Source organism: Homo sapiens, chromosome 11 (genome assembly GCF_000001405.40).
Source record: "Homo sapiens chromosome 11, GRCh38.p14 Primary Assembly".
NCBI lineage: Eukaryota > Metazoa > Chordata > Mammalia > Primates > Hominidae > Homo > Homo sapiens.
In genome coordinates this window covers 38244982-38261391 of record NC_000011.10, presented here as the reverse complement: position 1 = coordinate 38261391, position 16410 = coordinate 38244982, and the positions used below count along the sequence as shown (strand labels likewise).

The window sequence follows — 16410 nt, the reverse complement described above, 5'->3', positions numbered from 1 at the left end:
ATGTCTACAAAAGAAGAAGGATCTCAAATAAAATACCTAATATTGCACCTCAAGGAACTAACAAAAAAGAACAAACTAAACACAAATAGAAGAAATAATACCAGAGCATAAAAAAACATAAACTAAAGAAACAAAACTAAGAAATCAACAAAACAAAGAGCTACTTTTTGAAAAGATAAAATTGACAAACCTTTAGCTAGACTACTGGAAAAAAAGAAGACACAAATAAAATCAGAATGAAGGCTGGACACGGTGGCTCACACCTGTAATTCTAGCACTTTGGGATGCCAAGGTGGGCAGATCACCTCAGATCGGGAGTTCAAGACCAGCCTGACCAACATGGAGAAACCCAGTTTCTACTAAAAATACAAAATTAGCCGGGCATGGCAGCACATGTGGTGGCCTGTATTCCCAGCTACTTGGGAGGCTGAGGGAGGAGAATCGCTTGAACCTGGGAGGCGGAAGTCGTAGTGAGCCAATATTGTGCCATTGCACTCCACCCTGGGCAACAAGAGTGAAACTCCATCTAAAAAAATTTTAAAAATAAGAATGAAAATGGTTATATTACATCTGGTATCACAGAATTACAAAGGATTGTAGGACACTATTATGAACAACTATATGCCAACAAATTGAGAACCTAGAAGAAATGGATAAATTCCCAGACGTATACAACCCACTAAATTGAATCATGAAGAATTAGAAATGCTGAACAGACCAGTAATAAGTAATTAAATTAAATCAATAATAAAAAGTCTTTCACCAAAGAAAAGCTCAGGACCTGAGGGCTTTACTTCTGAATTGTACCAGACACTTAGAGAATAATGAATATCTGTATTTATCAAACTGTTATAAAAAATTGAAGAGAAGAGAATTCTTCCAAACTCATTTATGGAGCCAAAATTATCTTGATATCAAAACCAGAGAAGACCACAACAACAACAACAACAACAACAAAACTTCAGCTCAATATTTCCAATGAATTATTTGCCGAAATCCTCCACAGTACACTAGCAAACCACATTCAATAGCACATTAAAAAGATCATTTACCATGATTATGTGAAATTCATCCCAGGGATATAAGAATAGTTCATCATATGCAAATCAATACATGTAACACATCACATTAATCTAATTAAGGGCAAAAATCATATCAATAGATACAGAAAAATCAATTAATAAATTTCAGCATCCATTCATGATAAAAACTTTCATCAAACAAGGTATAGAAGGAATGAACCTCAATACATGGAAAGCCATATATGACAAACCCAGCGCTGAATGGGGAAAAGTTAAAAACATTTTTTTTAAGGTCTGGAACAAGACAAGAATGTCCACTTCTACCGCTTTAATTCAAGATAGTACTGGAAATCCTAGCCAGAAAAATTAGGCAAAAAAGTAAATAAATGCCATCTAAATTTAAAAGGAGGAAGTCAAGTTATCTCTATTTTAGATGACATAATCTTATATCTGAAAACATTAAAAACTCCACAAAGTAACTTCTATAACTGAGTATATCTAGTAAACTTATGGGGTATGAAATTAACATACAAAAATCAGTAGCATTTCTACATACTGAAAACAAACTATCAGAAAAAGAAATCAAGAAAGCAATCTTATTTACAATAGAAAAAAAAGTAAGATGCCTAAGAATAAATTTAACCAAGAGAGTAAGAGATGTCTACAATGAAACCTATAAAACATAGTGAAAGACATTGAAGAAAACACAAATAAATGGAAAGATAGCTCATGTTCATTGATTGGAAGAATTATCATTATTAAAATGTTCATATTACCCAATAAGGCTACAAATTCAATGTAATCCCTACCAAAATATCAGGGATATTCTTCAAAGATATAGGAAAAAAAACACCTTAAAATTTGTGTAGATCCACAAAAGACTCCAAATAGCCAAATACATTTTGAGCAGAAAGAACAGAACTGGTGGTGTCACTCTAACTGACTTCAAAATATACTACAAAGCCATAGTAACCAAAGAGCATGATACTGGCATACAGACACATGGGCCAATGAAACATTGTGTCACAGAAATAAATCCATACACTTAAAGTCACCTGATTCTCAACAAAGGTGTTAATAATACACATTGGGAAATTGTCAGTCTCTTCATTAAAGGATGCTAGAAGAACTGTATATTCACATGCTGTGTGATTAAGCTAGACCCCATCTCTAGCCATATACAAAAAAAAAAACTCAAAGCAGATTAAAGACTTAAATGTAAGATCCAAAATAATAAAACCTCTTGAAGAAATCATAGGGGAAATGCTTAATGGCATTGCTCTGTGCAATGACTTTTTCAGATAAGATTTCAAAACCACAGACAACAAAAACAAAATTAGACAAATAAAATTACATCAAACTAAGAAAGCTTCTGTACAGCAAAGGAAACAGTCAGTAGAATGAATATATAAACTGTAGAATAGAAGAAAATATTTGCAAGCTATGCTTATTAACCCCAAATATATAAGGAACTGAAATAACTCAATAGCAAAAACAAAGAATCCAATTTAAAAATGTTCCAAAGAACTGAATAGACATTTCTCAAAAGAAGAAATACAAATGGCCAACAAACAGGTACATGAAAAAATGCATGACATCACTAGTCATTGGGAAAATGCTAATTAAAACCACAGTGTGATAGCACCTCACCCTAATTAGAATAACTATTGTTAAAAGGATAGAAAAATATACACAAAAACAAATGCTGGCATGAATGTGGAGAAAGAGGAACACTACAATACTCTTGGCAGGACTGTAAGTTACTACCATCATTTTGAAAAACAGTAGTTGCTCAAAAAACTAATAATAGAACTAACATATGATCTAGCAATTCCATTACTGGGTATATATCCAAAGGAAATACAATTAGTATGTAAAAGAGATGTCTTCCACCCCATGTTTCTTGTGGTTGTATTTGCAATAGCCAAGATATGGACTAAACCTAAGTGTCCATCAACAGATAAATGGATAACAAAAATATGGTGAATATACACAAGGGAGTACTGTTTAGCCATAAAAAATGAAATCTCGTCATATTTGCAACATGAATGAACCTGGAGGATGTTATGTTAAATAAATAAGCCAGGCACAGCAAAACCAAAAACGCACGATCTCATTCTTGTGTGGAATCTAAAGAAATTAATCTCATAGAGTAGAGTTAGAATAGTGATTAGCAGAGCCTGGAAAGGGAAGAAAAGAGGCACACATAGGGAGAGATTGGTCAACGGGTACAAAATTAAAATTAGGAGGAAAATATTTTAGTGTTCTACTACACAGTGGGGTGACTATAGTTAACAATATTATATTATATATTTCAAAGTAGCCAGGAGAGAGAATTTGAGTGTTCTCACCACAAAGAAATAATAAATGTTTGAGGTGATGGATATACTAAACATCCTGATTTGATTATTACACAATGTATACATATATTGAAACATCACACTGTATGCTATAAATATGTACAATTATGCATTATTTAAAATACAGAAATAATTTTTAAGAAGATTCTCAGAAAAAATTGTATTATTTTTAAGTTAATTTAATTTTGTATTAATCTGATATAGCATTAGGCTATATTTCAAATAAGATTAATGGCCTCAACATTAAAAAATAATTCTAGAAAGGAAAAATAATATTTGAGCAAATTTTTTATTTTAGATGAAGAGAATTTCTGTAAAAGAACCTCTTGTTTGATATTATAGTGAAACCAGTCATCACCACTTTGAAAGTCCTTCCTAACATGTTGGGAGGCAATTCTCATGGATAGCTTTCATTTCTGTATTTCTAGCAATCAGAGGTACTGACAGTTGTTTGTTCTGGACTATCTTTTCAAGGATATTTGCCTTGGAAGATAAAAATAGTGTCTCTGAAGCAGAGGTGAATCAATCCTACCTATCATCTATCTATCTGTCTATCTATCTATCTATCTATCTATCTAATCAATCATCTACCTATCATCTATCTATCTAACTATCTAATCAATCATCTACCTATCATCTATCTATCTAACTATCTGTTTGTCTGTCTTTCTATTATCTATCTTCTCTCCATGGAAAAGTTTGCACAGGTGGTGGGAAGGTTTGTTTGCAGCTCAACAAAGGGATTAGAAAGGAGGCAACCCACTAAGAAATAGCATATGCATCAATGGAATTACGTGTTCCTTGAAAGTCTAGTTGTGCTCATTTGTATAACATTTATTATTTATGTATAATATATACACAAATCAAGATGACTTTATCTGTAGGTAAATACATTACATGGTTACATTTCTTAGCATGGATTAGTAAGTATACGTTATTTTATATTATGGCAATTTTTTAAAGTGCTCAATAATTAGCAAAAATAATTATAAAGAAGAAAATTTTATATACATTTTGAACTTACTCATTTCTACAGAGATGATAGCATATTGCAATTTTGAAGTTATATGCTGATTCTCCTTTAGCTTTATTTAGTTAAAAATCAATACTTTTTGGAAATCACTTTGTCTCGCAAATATCTTAATGTCTGAGCTATGTAACTCATTTAAAAGGATAATGACTTTACTTAGAATCAATTTTTATTGTCTGCCATATAATTTAGGGAAGTCTACAAACAATCTCAATTACAAAAGGTAAAAAAAGCAGCTGTGTTTTACCATGTTAGCTTTTTGACATTCAACAACTGATTCTGCAGGACAAATTTGCATTAGCAACCAACTCAATAGGCAGAATGTTACCTGAAAACTATTTTCTTAGCATTCCACAGGGGATTATCAGCTTTGACCTAGCTATCCACCTTGTTGTTTTGCATGTAGAGCTATTCATAACTCCTCCAATTCATAAAAAGTAGAGTGTGTGTGTGTTTCTGTGTGTGTGTGTGTGTGTGTGATTTACATGATGCCTCTATTTTCAAAGATAGCACAAACACTTTTGGTTACAGTTTTGCTGTTGAAATGGCCCCTTTATTTTCAATTAGTCATTTAAATCCTACAGCTGCTTTTGTAGAATTTCCTCCTTGATAATTTGATTTCTGTAAAGACATTTGAGTAGACCCCAGGGTCATACTGCCTTACTTTTATTTCTATTTTTCTATCATTATCCTCCACCTACTTCAATACCATATTATTTTTAAACATTTATTCATACTGAGGAAATTTAAATATGTATAAACTATGTCCAGTTCACAGGTACACATGGCAGATATGTGGAACTTAGTACAAGAAGACTTTTGTTTTGGTCATAATTATTTTTATGTAATTGACATACTCTGTGCATTCTGTATGCCCAGGACAGTACTGCTAGTGTAATGTTTCTGAAATACAAATTGAATTGTTCTACTACTGAAAAAGCTCTGAAGAAATGACACACTAGCTGCAATGAGCATATACAGCATGTAGGTACTGGTTTCTAAATACCCTCCTCCTCCAAAGGAACAAAGCTTCCAAGCAATAAAAGGTCCTAAATTAACAAGTGTTGAAAATGAACACTGGTATTTAAGAGTTTCAAAATGGAAAGAAATCTAATCCCAAAGATCACATGAAGGATGTAGAGATAAGATTCTTTCTTAAGAACTCTAAATATTTAAGGCTATGCACGGTAGAAACTCAGTGACCCAAAAAACACATCTAAGAATATTAAGAGCATTCTCACAATAGCCTGTCATGTTGACTAACATAGAGATACTTGTCTCAAAGAGAATCATAGGGTAAACTTTTGTCAAATGGACTTAACTATTTTTTTATAAATAGAAGCCCTGTATTTTAAGGGGGACATATCAGCAGAGCACCACTAGCAGTTGATGCAAAGAACCTGAGACTTTTTAAATTTTCAAAATGCTATTTGGCTTCCAAATTTCTAAGGCAGGAAGCAGTCTCATTGGGAAGACCTGGGAAAAGAAACCATTTTATTTTCTAACCTAGCAAGTACTGTCTCTGGCACTTTCAACATTCTACCTGAAAATCATCTTAGCAAGATATATAAGTACATTAAATACATATTCTGTCTTCAAAATTCACGAAGGCAAGAATTTTGCCAATATATTTACACTATTATATGACACAGGTTATGTTTCCAGCATACTGTATCAGTTTCTTTCTGAGTTTTCCACCCTCTGCTAATGCTGTGCTTGCCTTTTTTCCAGTCTTTGGCAACAGTATTTTTCATTGCTTTTACAGACACTGCATGCTGATCAGTGCCAATTTAGCTTATGATTCCTGTATGTTCTATATTTAGCTTATGATTCTATATGTTCTATATTTGGCTTATGATTCTATATATTGACTGATTAGATCTTTGGATCTGTGACAGGTAAGCTAGTGGCTCCATAGTCTGTGATGGCATTATTCACATCTGGTGGTTGATATTTTTTCACTTGCAATGACAAGGGCAATTGGGCCATCTATCTCTTCATACGTATAGCACATCATCCAGTAGACTACACTGAGCTTTGACACATGGCAGCCGTGTTCCAAGAATAGCAAGAATTTAAGTCCCTATGTGCAAGTGCTTTTACAAGCTTCTGTATGTGTGACATTTGCTTATACAAACTTGGTCAAGGCAAATAATAAGGCACTCAGTATACGAGGGAATTATTAAATGGGATATATAAAGAAAGAAATAATTCATTTGCATTTTTACAATATATGCAATTTCATAATCTACAAATACTATTTTTATTAATTTTCTGATTAAAATTTTGTTAACATTTTTTCATTTTTCTCTTACATGAAGAGTGTCATTTTACTATGACTGATTGTAAGATTTTATCTTTATCTTTGTATTTCAGCATTTTGGCTATCAAGTGTCTATCTGCAGTTATCTCTGTATTAATTCTGTTGGTGTTTGCTGAGGTTCTTGGCTTCATGGATTTAATACTTTCATGAATTTACAAAATTATTAGCCACTATTTCTTAAATATTGTCCTCTGTCTCAGACATTTTCTGCTGTTCATCTAGTATTTGATTTAGATATATGTCAAATGGCTCAATCCTTTCCCACATGCTGTTAAAGCTCGCTTTCACATTTTCAGTCTATTTGTAAATCCATTTGCATAATTTCTATTGCCTTGTCCTTCGGTACACAGATATTTTACTATGCATTGTCTAATTTCCTATTAAACCCATTCATTAAAATGTTGGTTTCAGGTATTGCATATTTTCAGGTTTAGAATTTTAATTTTATACATTTTTTTGACAGTTTTCATTATTCTCCTGACATTTTCCACCATGTGGAAACTCTGACCTCTTAGTCCTCAGCCCATTAAATTAGCGTCCTCCTACTTGAGCTCTTACCCTCCATTAGCTTTGTGGACTGTGGAGTTCCTTTAAGGGAAAAGTAAGATAAATGTATATTTCTGTGTTCCCCTGGTTTCAAGAGCCATTTCACCTCCAGTTTCTGCCTGCTTTGTTTGCTTCCCAGTGTCTTCAAAGAGTTGTTAGTGCATTTGATTCTTTTCCAAAGTTTCTACTTGTTAGAGGCAGAAGGGTAAATCTGATATAAGGTTCTTTTGGAAGCTACAAGGTTAGGGACGAATGTATTTAATTTCTACCAAATTATGGAATATTAATTTATTGCATTTAACTGATATAAAGAAATCTTATAGGAAAATGTTGGCCCATTTTATAGGGGAATGTGATGGTTAAGCCCATCTTCATTGGGCTACAGATGCCCAGATATCTGTTTTAAATATTATTTCTGAATGTGCCTGTGAGGGTGTTTTTAGGAGATATCAACATTTTAATTGATGGAGTAAGTAAAATAGATTGCCCTCCCTAAGGTAAGTGGGCATCTTTTAATCTTTTGAAGGCCAGGGATAGAACAAAAAAGTGGAAGAAGGCAGAATTCTGTCTCTCTGCTGGAATGCATAACCTGAGACATCAGTCTCCTTCTGCCCTTGGACTAAGACTTACACTATCAGTGATCCTGCTTCACAAGCATTCAGACTCAGACTGGAATTTAAACCACTGGCTTTCCTGGGACTCCAATTTGCAGATGATAGATAGCAGAAATTCTCAACCCCCATAATTGTGTGAAACAACTCCTTATAATAAGTTGTGAGGTTTATTCTTTCTCTGTCTCTCTCTTCTCTCTCTCTTTCTCTCTCTCTCTGTCTCTCTCTATGTATGTATTCCTATCATTAAATGTTGCTAAATTTTTTTGTAGAAAGAATTTATGAATTTACATTATTCAATAGCAGCATAATGACAGTTTCACCACATGCTCATTACATTAAATATTGTCATTACATTACTCTTTTCAGAGATGGTAGATTAAATTATCATTGTAAATAAAAATTGGTTTGATGTTCAATTTTATTTATTTTATTATTAATAACGTGAGGCTGCACTAGCCTTCATTTTCTATGGATTGTCATTTGGCTAGTAGGTTTTCTGAGAGAGTAAAAACTGATTGGCCAAACCAGTTATTTCATTCATATATTTGTGTTGGACAAATCATGTAGTTTTTATCTTGTCAAAATTGTAAAAGTTTCATAATCAGCCCAGCTGACAGCATTTCAGCTTGGGATTCTAAGAAGGCATTTTATGGTGGGAAATCATTCAGCACTTCTAACCTGACAGCTGCCATTAGGTCATATGATTGGAACAAAAAACTGACAGAGTGATGAAGCAAGACCAAAACTGCTAAAATAGTTACTCATATTTCCACACTTGGTTAAACACAGTAAAATGGAAGCAATGCTTTTGATAGAAAGTGTGCAAAAAAGAAGACATAATGTGATATTTTAACTACCAGATAGGGTTGAATTTGCAGAGGACAATTATTTTTCTCATGAATTATACTTCACATTTGGTTAGTTGCCAGTATATTACAGGAAGCTTTAGGTTGCAGAATACGGATCAGGGAAATGAGCACAGTTCTAGGTAAAAGCAGCTGAAATAATATTAAAGTAACTCTTTATCCTTAGTTTCATTAACATTAAATTGTAATTACTTTAATTCAATGACAAAATGCTGAACACCCATGTGTCCAGCATTTTTGCCCAGAGGTTTTCTGTGTGTGTCTTAATTCAATCTACACAATTGGGTAATTATCATTCTTATCACTATTATTAGTGTCTATGTGCAAGGAAAGAAACTGAGGCCCTAAAGTGCATAGTCACCACAGTCACACAGATGATGTAAGTTCAGGATTGCGTCTTGGATCAGTAGCTTTTAAATTAGAAACCAATAACAATTTTATTGTGTATCACTAATAAAAATATATAGAAATACAACTCTGTAGATGTAGACCGAAGCTGTTTCACATTTTAGTATGTGGCTGTCCTTGAACTTTTCCCATATGTATGTATGTATAATTATATTAATTATATGAATGTGTCCCCTTCAAAATTCAGGTGTTGCCAAATTGATAGTATTAAGAGATGGGGCTTTTTGTTTTTTTTGTTTTGTTTTGTTTTGTTTTGAGACAGAGTCTCGCTTCTGTCACCAGGCTGGAGTGCAGTGGCTCGATCTCAGCTCACTGCAACCTCTGCCTCCCAGGTTCAAGTGATTTTCCTGCCTCAGCCTCCCAAGTAGCTGGGACTACAGGTGCATGCCACCATGCCCAGATAATTTTTTTTTTTTGTATTTTTAGTAGATGGGATTTCACCATGTTGGCCAGGATGGTCTCGATCTCTTGGCCTTGTGATCCACCTGCCTCGGCCTTCCAAAGTGCGTGAGCCACTGCGCCCCGCTGAGGTGGGGCTTTTAAGACATGATTAGGCCAACAGCACTCCTACATTGTGAATGAGATTAAAGCCCTTATAAATGAGGCTTCATGCAGCATTCAGTTTAGTTTGTTCTTCCACCTGCCTCTTGAAGGCACAGCATTTCTCCCCTCAGAATAATGCAGCCTTTACAAGATAAACAAATCTCCTGCAGGCACATTGATCTTGGACTTCCTAGCCCCCAGAACAGTGAGATATAAATGCCTGTTTTTTATAAATAACCAAGTCTCATATTAAGTATTTTGTAATAGCAGCACAAACGGATGAAGGCCATTTACATAGATATGTATAACTTAAATGTGTATATGCATTTGTAAATTAATGATGGCAGTGGCAGCCAGTTGGAGCAGCAGTAATGAAGACACCAGATGCAGCAGGAAGGTGTAGCCAGGACTGAGTGCTCCATGGAGCAGTCAGGGTCTGGAAACACGTGGGAACCCTGCCGCCTACTGAGTTGGTGGGATGGGAGCCCCATGCTCCCGGGTACAGCTGAAGCCAGCCAGCTGCAGTTCCAGACTCGGGCATCCCTGCAGTCTTAGGGGCCCAGGAAGCTCCTGCAGGCTCAGAAGTGGGGAAAGGCAGGCTTCCTGGGCCACTGAGAAGGGGCTCTGCTCCTGCTCTCTGGCCTCTCCCTGCTCCAGGCACCTGCTATGATTTTGGAGCAAAGTGGAAGCTGAGCCCAGGCACTGTCATGACCCAGCCAGGTGTGTGCACACTTGGAGTATCACTGACATGCTAGACCCCTGCTGACTTTACCCTCTCCAGACTTTGGGTGCTGACAATCATGGGAGGGATGCTCAGGGTGCTGAGGGTGGCTTGGCATGGGCCTGCAGGCGCTCCTTGGCATGAATAGCCTGGGTGCTGTGTACAGCATGTTGATGGTGACGGGAGACAGACAGGTTCCTGGGTGGAGAAGAGAGGGTGCCCAGTGAAGCCCCATCTTCAAGGTAAGTATGACCTGAAGTCTAGGGGACAGGCTGCCAGTTCTGGGTGGAGTCTGCAGCCCAGAGTGAGAATTTATGGTACTTCTTCCTGGCCTGCGCATGGCTGCCCATGAATCAATCAGCACATGTCCTCCCTTCTGAGCCCATAAAAACCCCAGACACAGCCAGATTCACACAGACATTGGGACTAACAGTTGTGGGAAAGAGCTTCCCACTTTGCGTCTCCTGGACATGTCAGGATGACCTGCCTGCAGAAAGGAGCTAGCTACCCACTATGGGTCTCCTCTCTACCAAGAGTTGGACACTCATCGGCACAACCTGTCTGCAGAAAGGAGCTACTCAATTTGAGTCTCTGGAGAGCCGTTCTGTCAATAAAGCTCCTCTCTGCCTTGCTCATGCTCCAGTTGTCCACATACTGATTATTTCTAGACATGGGACAGGAACTCAGGACCTGCCAAATGGGGGACTGGTAGAGTTGTAACACAAACAGGGCTGAAACACGCTACCCCCACCCCCACTTGCCACACTGTGGGCGACAAGAAGAAGAGAAGAGCTGTGGCCCTTTGGGGAGCCCAGATATAGAGAGTCTCTGAGCTAAGACTATGAAACCCTCTTTGGGGGTCTGCAGTTTCTGCCATCTCAAAGCTTCTGGGTACCACCACGTTCCCTTCACCCTGATGCAGGTGCCCATAGCAGAAGCCACTTGTGGTGCGTCTGATCCAGCTGCAGGCTTGCATGGAGCTGGCACCTGTGCCAGTGCCTGGAGCTGCCTGCCCCTCCACAGCAGCCAGTGTGCCTGGTTGTCCACAGTGGCCAGACCCCGTGCTCATTTGCTCACACACTCCTCACTGCTCCACACCTGTCTTGCCCTTGGCAGGCATGGGATCCAAGCCAGTAGTGCAAGCCAAGCACAGCTTACTAGGCTGAGTGGATGGAACAAGCCCAGTGGGCCTGAGCAAAACTCGAGCAAAGGCTTCACTGGCCACAGAGGTTTCCAGCTGGAAAAGTGACACCCTGAGGATCTTGTGGAAGTGTGGTGGTTTTCATCACATACATGTATATGAAGGTATTAATGTCACAGGATTTTACTTATCTCAAATTCTCCTAGGTCTCTTAAGCTATCATTATTAAACTCATTGACACAAATAACAACACATTTGGAAAAATATCCAATTTTGAATGGCTTAGAAGCCTTCATCTGCATTACTACATGACTATAGTTCTCTTTCCCCAAAATATCTGAGGGCCCTAGAGGAAGTCTCTCTTGTCCTCAGAAATGACTTTGCAGGTGCCAAGTACTACTGTTCCCTAGCCTGCATCCCCAGAGAATCTTCAAGCTTTTTAGGGCACTCTGCCTTCTCTGCTCACTATGATTGTTGCTTACTCTTCACCTCTTAAAGTGAAGACGTCTTCAAGTAACAAACAGACCTATATTTTCTTCAATACTTTCTGCTTTACCAAAGTTGTGTAATTTTACACTTATTATATTAAAATGTTCTGCTTTCTTCAGTTTCCTCTTTCTTTAGACATTCTATATTTTCCTTACCATGAACATAAATATTATTACTCTTATATTTTCTCCTTTTCCTCTCCATTTCCTCCATCACCCAATCTTTTAAAATGTTATTATTTATCTTAGTTTTTACCTTTGTGCTAATTCAATATTCAAAAAATTTCCCAGTAGTTTTTTTTCTTTCAACTTAAAATATCTTTTATTTTTAGCCATTATACATCAGGCAATTTGTGAGCTATTGTACTTAATATCATCTCTCCCACTTTCATACTTTGTAAGTTACATTATTCATCTATTTAAGACTATGTAATATTTTTGTTCTATCCTACCAATCTTATGGTTACTATTGTTGTTTTTCTTACTTTTAGATCTACATTTAAATACACCCATTGCTTATTATTACCAGTATTTTACCAAAGTTTTTCTTGTCATACTTTGATTAATTACAATTTGGTCTCTAATAAGTTTTATTAGCAATAACTCATGAGAATTATATTCTTCAAGCTCTTCTATTTTAAAAGTGGTTTGTCAGTAGCTTTATCACTTGAAGGTTAATTTTGTTTGAAGGTTAATTTTGTTTAATTTCCCTGGCTCACACAGTCTTTGTTGTTCATCTTTCTCATGTTTCAGCACTGTGAGGATGTCTGAGACTAGTCAGATTTTTTAATCCCTAAAAGGCAAGCCACCATGTAGCCTGGTGTATGACTGATGTTCATCATAATTATGAATAACATGCAATATTATTGTCAAAAAGATGAAAAATAATATGATTAGTATAGGTACTTTACTTATTTTGCCAAAAGTCTGTTTGTTTGATTTTTTACTCAGATAATTTTTCTTAAATTAAGGTATAAATAACATTACTGACATATTTTCTACTGTGTACTATTCTGGGTCTCATTTGGTAAGGATAAGCCTACGTTATGCTGCATTTTCAAGTTTATCCTATAGCTTTTGTATGTTTTATATTGAGATTATCACTAAATATTTTTATACTTTTTACTATTTTAATTTTTTTCTTCTACAACATTGTACAACTGTTGTTTGTAAAAATAAAAATATTTATCTTTGTAAAATAATTTTGTTTCCTTCTATGTTATTTAATGTCTGTATTTTGTGTGTTAGCATTTTTTGTGTTTTTCAGATGCACATAATATGGAATGCAAGTAGAGATAGTTTTATCCATTTTCCAATTATTATGCCTCAAGTTTTTCTCCTTAATAATCACACTAGCTAATATACAATGCAGTATTCAATTACAGTAAACAGTCAACTCTTTGCCTTTTTCTTGACTTAGTGGAACCGTGATGGTTAATTATGTGTTAACTGTCCAGGCCTTGATATCACGATATTTTGCCAAACACTAGTCAAGACACTGCTGTGATTATTATTTAAAAGAAGATTGACATTTCAACTGGTAGACTCTAAGTAGATTACCCTCTATAATGTGGGTGGTGGGTAAGCCTCATCCAATCTATTAAAGGCCTTAATGAAAGCACTCACACATACAAACTGAAGTTTCTCTAGAAAGAAGGAATTCTATGTGAAGTCAGTCTTCAGACTCAATCTGCAAAAATCAGCTTTTCCATATATCTCCAGCATGCCAGCCTACTCTGCAGATTTTGAACTTGCCAAACCCCACAATCACATAAACCTATTCCTACAAATAAATCTGTCTCTCCTTCTCTCTCTCTGTGTGTTCGTATAGATATATGTGTGAGTATAGATATATCTATCTGTATTTACATATGTGTGTGTGTGTATATATATACATACATACAGATATATCTACATGTACCCATATACATATGTGTGTATGCATACACAATACACATATACATACATGAATGTGTATATATACACATATATATACATATGGTAGTTAAAGCAAGAGAAAGGTAATAAAATCTAAACAGGAAATACATACCTAGACTAGGACTGGAGAATGGTTGACAAGTAAATCTGCCTAAGGAATACAGATATATCTCTTGGAATTAGCAACATGTAATTATGTATTAGCAAAATGTATATGTGTATACATACACATACGTGTTTGTGTGTATACATACACATATGTGTTTGTGTATACACATAGACACACACACATATATATATAGTAGAGGGTAAGGTACTCACACACACACACACACAGACATTTATATAGAAGAGGGTAAGGTAAAGTGCAAGAAAGGTAGTAAAATCTAAATAGGAAAACATTCACCAAGACTAGGACTGGCGAATTGTTGACAAGTAAATCTTCCTAAAGAATATGGATGTATCCCTTGGAATTGACAAAATGTAAAGGGACCCACTGCGGAGGAAACTCAATTATCTAGCAGATATGTATGACTAATTTAGTTGGTATCAGTCAATGTCTTTTCTCAACCACCTAATGTTTGCTCCCTGGGCTTAAAAAATTTGGAAAGAAGATGAGAGGCAAAACCCATATTTGTATTCTGGCTACTGAAAGCAAATGAATGGGTTTCAGCAGATGTGAGATTTTGCATAAACAATTTTTTTTGTAAATTACCTGACTTAGTGATTGAATCTGCTGAGATCATCACTTATCATCCCCTAAAATGTACCTGTAAATCAGAGATGTAATAGCAGTTTTTACATTTATGTCTTCTGTCTTTCAGTCTCCTGAAAACAAGTGAATTCTTGTAATAAATAATTTTCTGTTTGAAATATTTGGAATAGGTATTGTATTTGTGACTGATCCACGTCTGATTTATATCCTTATCTATAGTGATATATAGATATAAATATATATGTATATTGTTTAAAGATCTCTATATATATATATAAACTTGATCTATGACATCTAGAACAGTGCTAGATTCATATTAGATACTTAAAATTATTGTTTGACTCTTTGACTCACCAGAAAAATGCCCAAGACAATGAAACAAGCAACATACTACGTATCTGCTAAATACCTTTGAGTTGTAAATCAAAAGTTTCCAAACTCTCTTTTAAACCTTTTGACAGTTGCACAATCTCTCTGAAGTAGTTTCCTTGTGTGTAAAATAAAAGGTTAGACTATATGATATATGTAGCCTGCTTTAGCCTTTATTGTTTTCTGATATCTTTCTTATTTTTCTGATTCCTTCAACTGTTCTTTATAAGATTTAATAAAGCTACATCAAAACAAAAATACAACCCAATGATTTGGGATATTATTCCAGTTTCCAGATCCATGATATTGCACTGCTTTCTTATAGTGTTTCTTTCACAGATTAAATATTTCAGTCTTCATTTAGGTTGGGTTTTACACACAAGGAATCAAATGATTAGCAGTCTCAGGAGAATAGTCAAATGGGCCATATATATAGCCCAGCAAGTTTAGATGATAAGAATAATTTTCAATGCAGATATAGTCCTTTCCTTAGCAGATTACTCATAAAGAACTAGGGTTGGAATATCAATAATAAGTGGAAAAACACAATCTTCAGTGTGAAAATTCTGATACTGATTTATTTGGTGAGGTTGGAAAAATTATATGACCTTTCTCAGTCCTAATTGCCATTCTGTAAAATTGCATGCTAAGAATATCAATGATGGGATAGAAGCACTGGCTCCATGCTTGAAATATAACAGAAAAGGTATTTTCTGAAATAAATATTCTATTGCATGATGCAAAGAAATTTCCAGAAGGAAAGAAATAAAAAAAAATATTTAAAATGAAATGCTTATCTTGGATTTTTTTGAATAATTCTAGAACAGACAATATTGTACCCATTAAACCATGAACTAAGGGAAGAACAACTGCTCCATATTCATTCCCCAAATTCTCACTGTTACTAGCTTATGCCTAGTTTAAACCAGGATCAGTTTCTTCTAGATTTTCCTTTTTCTTAATGTACAGAAAAGTACAGAAAGGATTAATGTTGATGGCAAGTGGTCAAGATAATATTATCTAATACAGCCAGACCTTTAGATTTCCACTTCCTATAGAAGTTCAGTATCTTTCCCTTGCTAATATTTTTTGACTTGATAAAGACTCCAAATCACAACATTTTGGGAATTGTGGTGAAGAAAATGATGTAACTACAAAAAGAAAATTGCATTTGTGGTTGGTGGAAGGAAATCTACGAAATGAATAACAGTGTCCAGAACAAAAATAAATTAGAGAAATGCAGATGAACTTTGATGTTGCACTCACAATACTTATTGGTTTTGTTGAGACAGAAAAGAGAACAAATAAATATTATATATCAAACAC

At 35.3% G+C, this 16410-nt stretch overlaps 1 long non-coding RNA gene across 1 annotated transcript in view, besides 1 other annotated feature; it reads left to right on the top strand.

The window, feature by feature from the left end:
- The window catches only part of LOC105376634 (uncharacterized), a 146154-nt gene that overhangs the window by 75904 nt on the left and 53840 nt on the right, over positions 1-16410 (top strand). The gene's annotated exons all lie outside the window — the stretch shown is intronic.
- Positions 10306-10809: an enhancer, noted in NCBI's record as "H3K27ac-H3K4me1 hESC enhancer chr11:38272133-38272636 (GRCh37/hg19 assembly coordinates)". NCBI's record gives its function as "activates a minimal SCP1, AML or CMV promoter by ChIP-STARR-seq in primed H9 embryonic stem cells {active_cell/tissue: H9 hESC(primed)}" and the evidence as "EXISTENCE:reporter gene assay evidence [ECO:0000049][PMID:30033119]".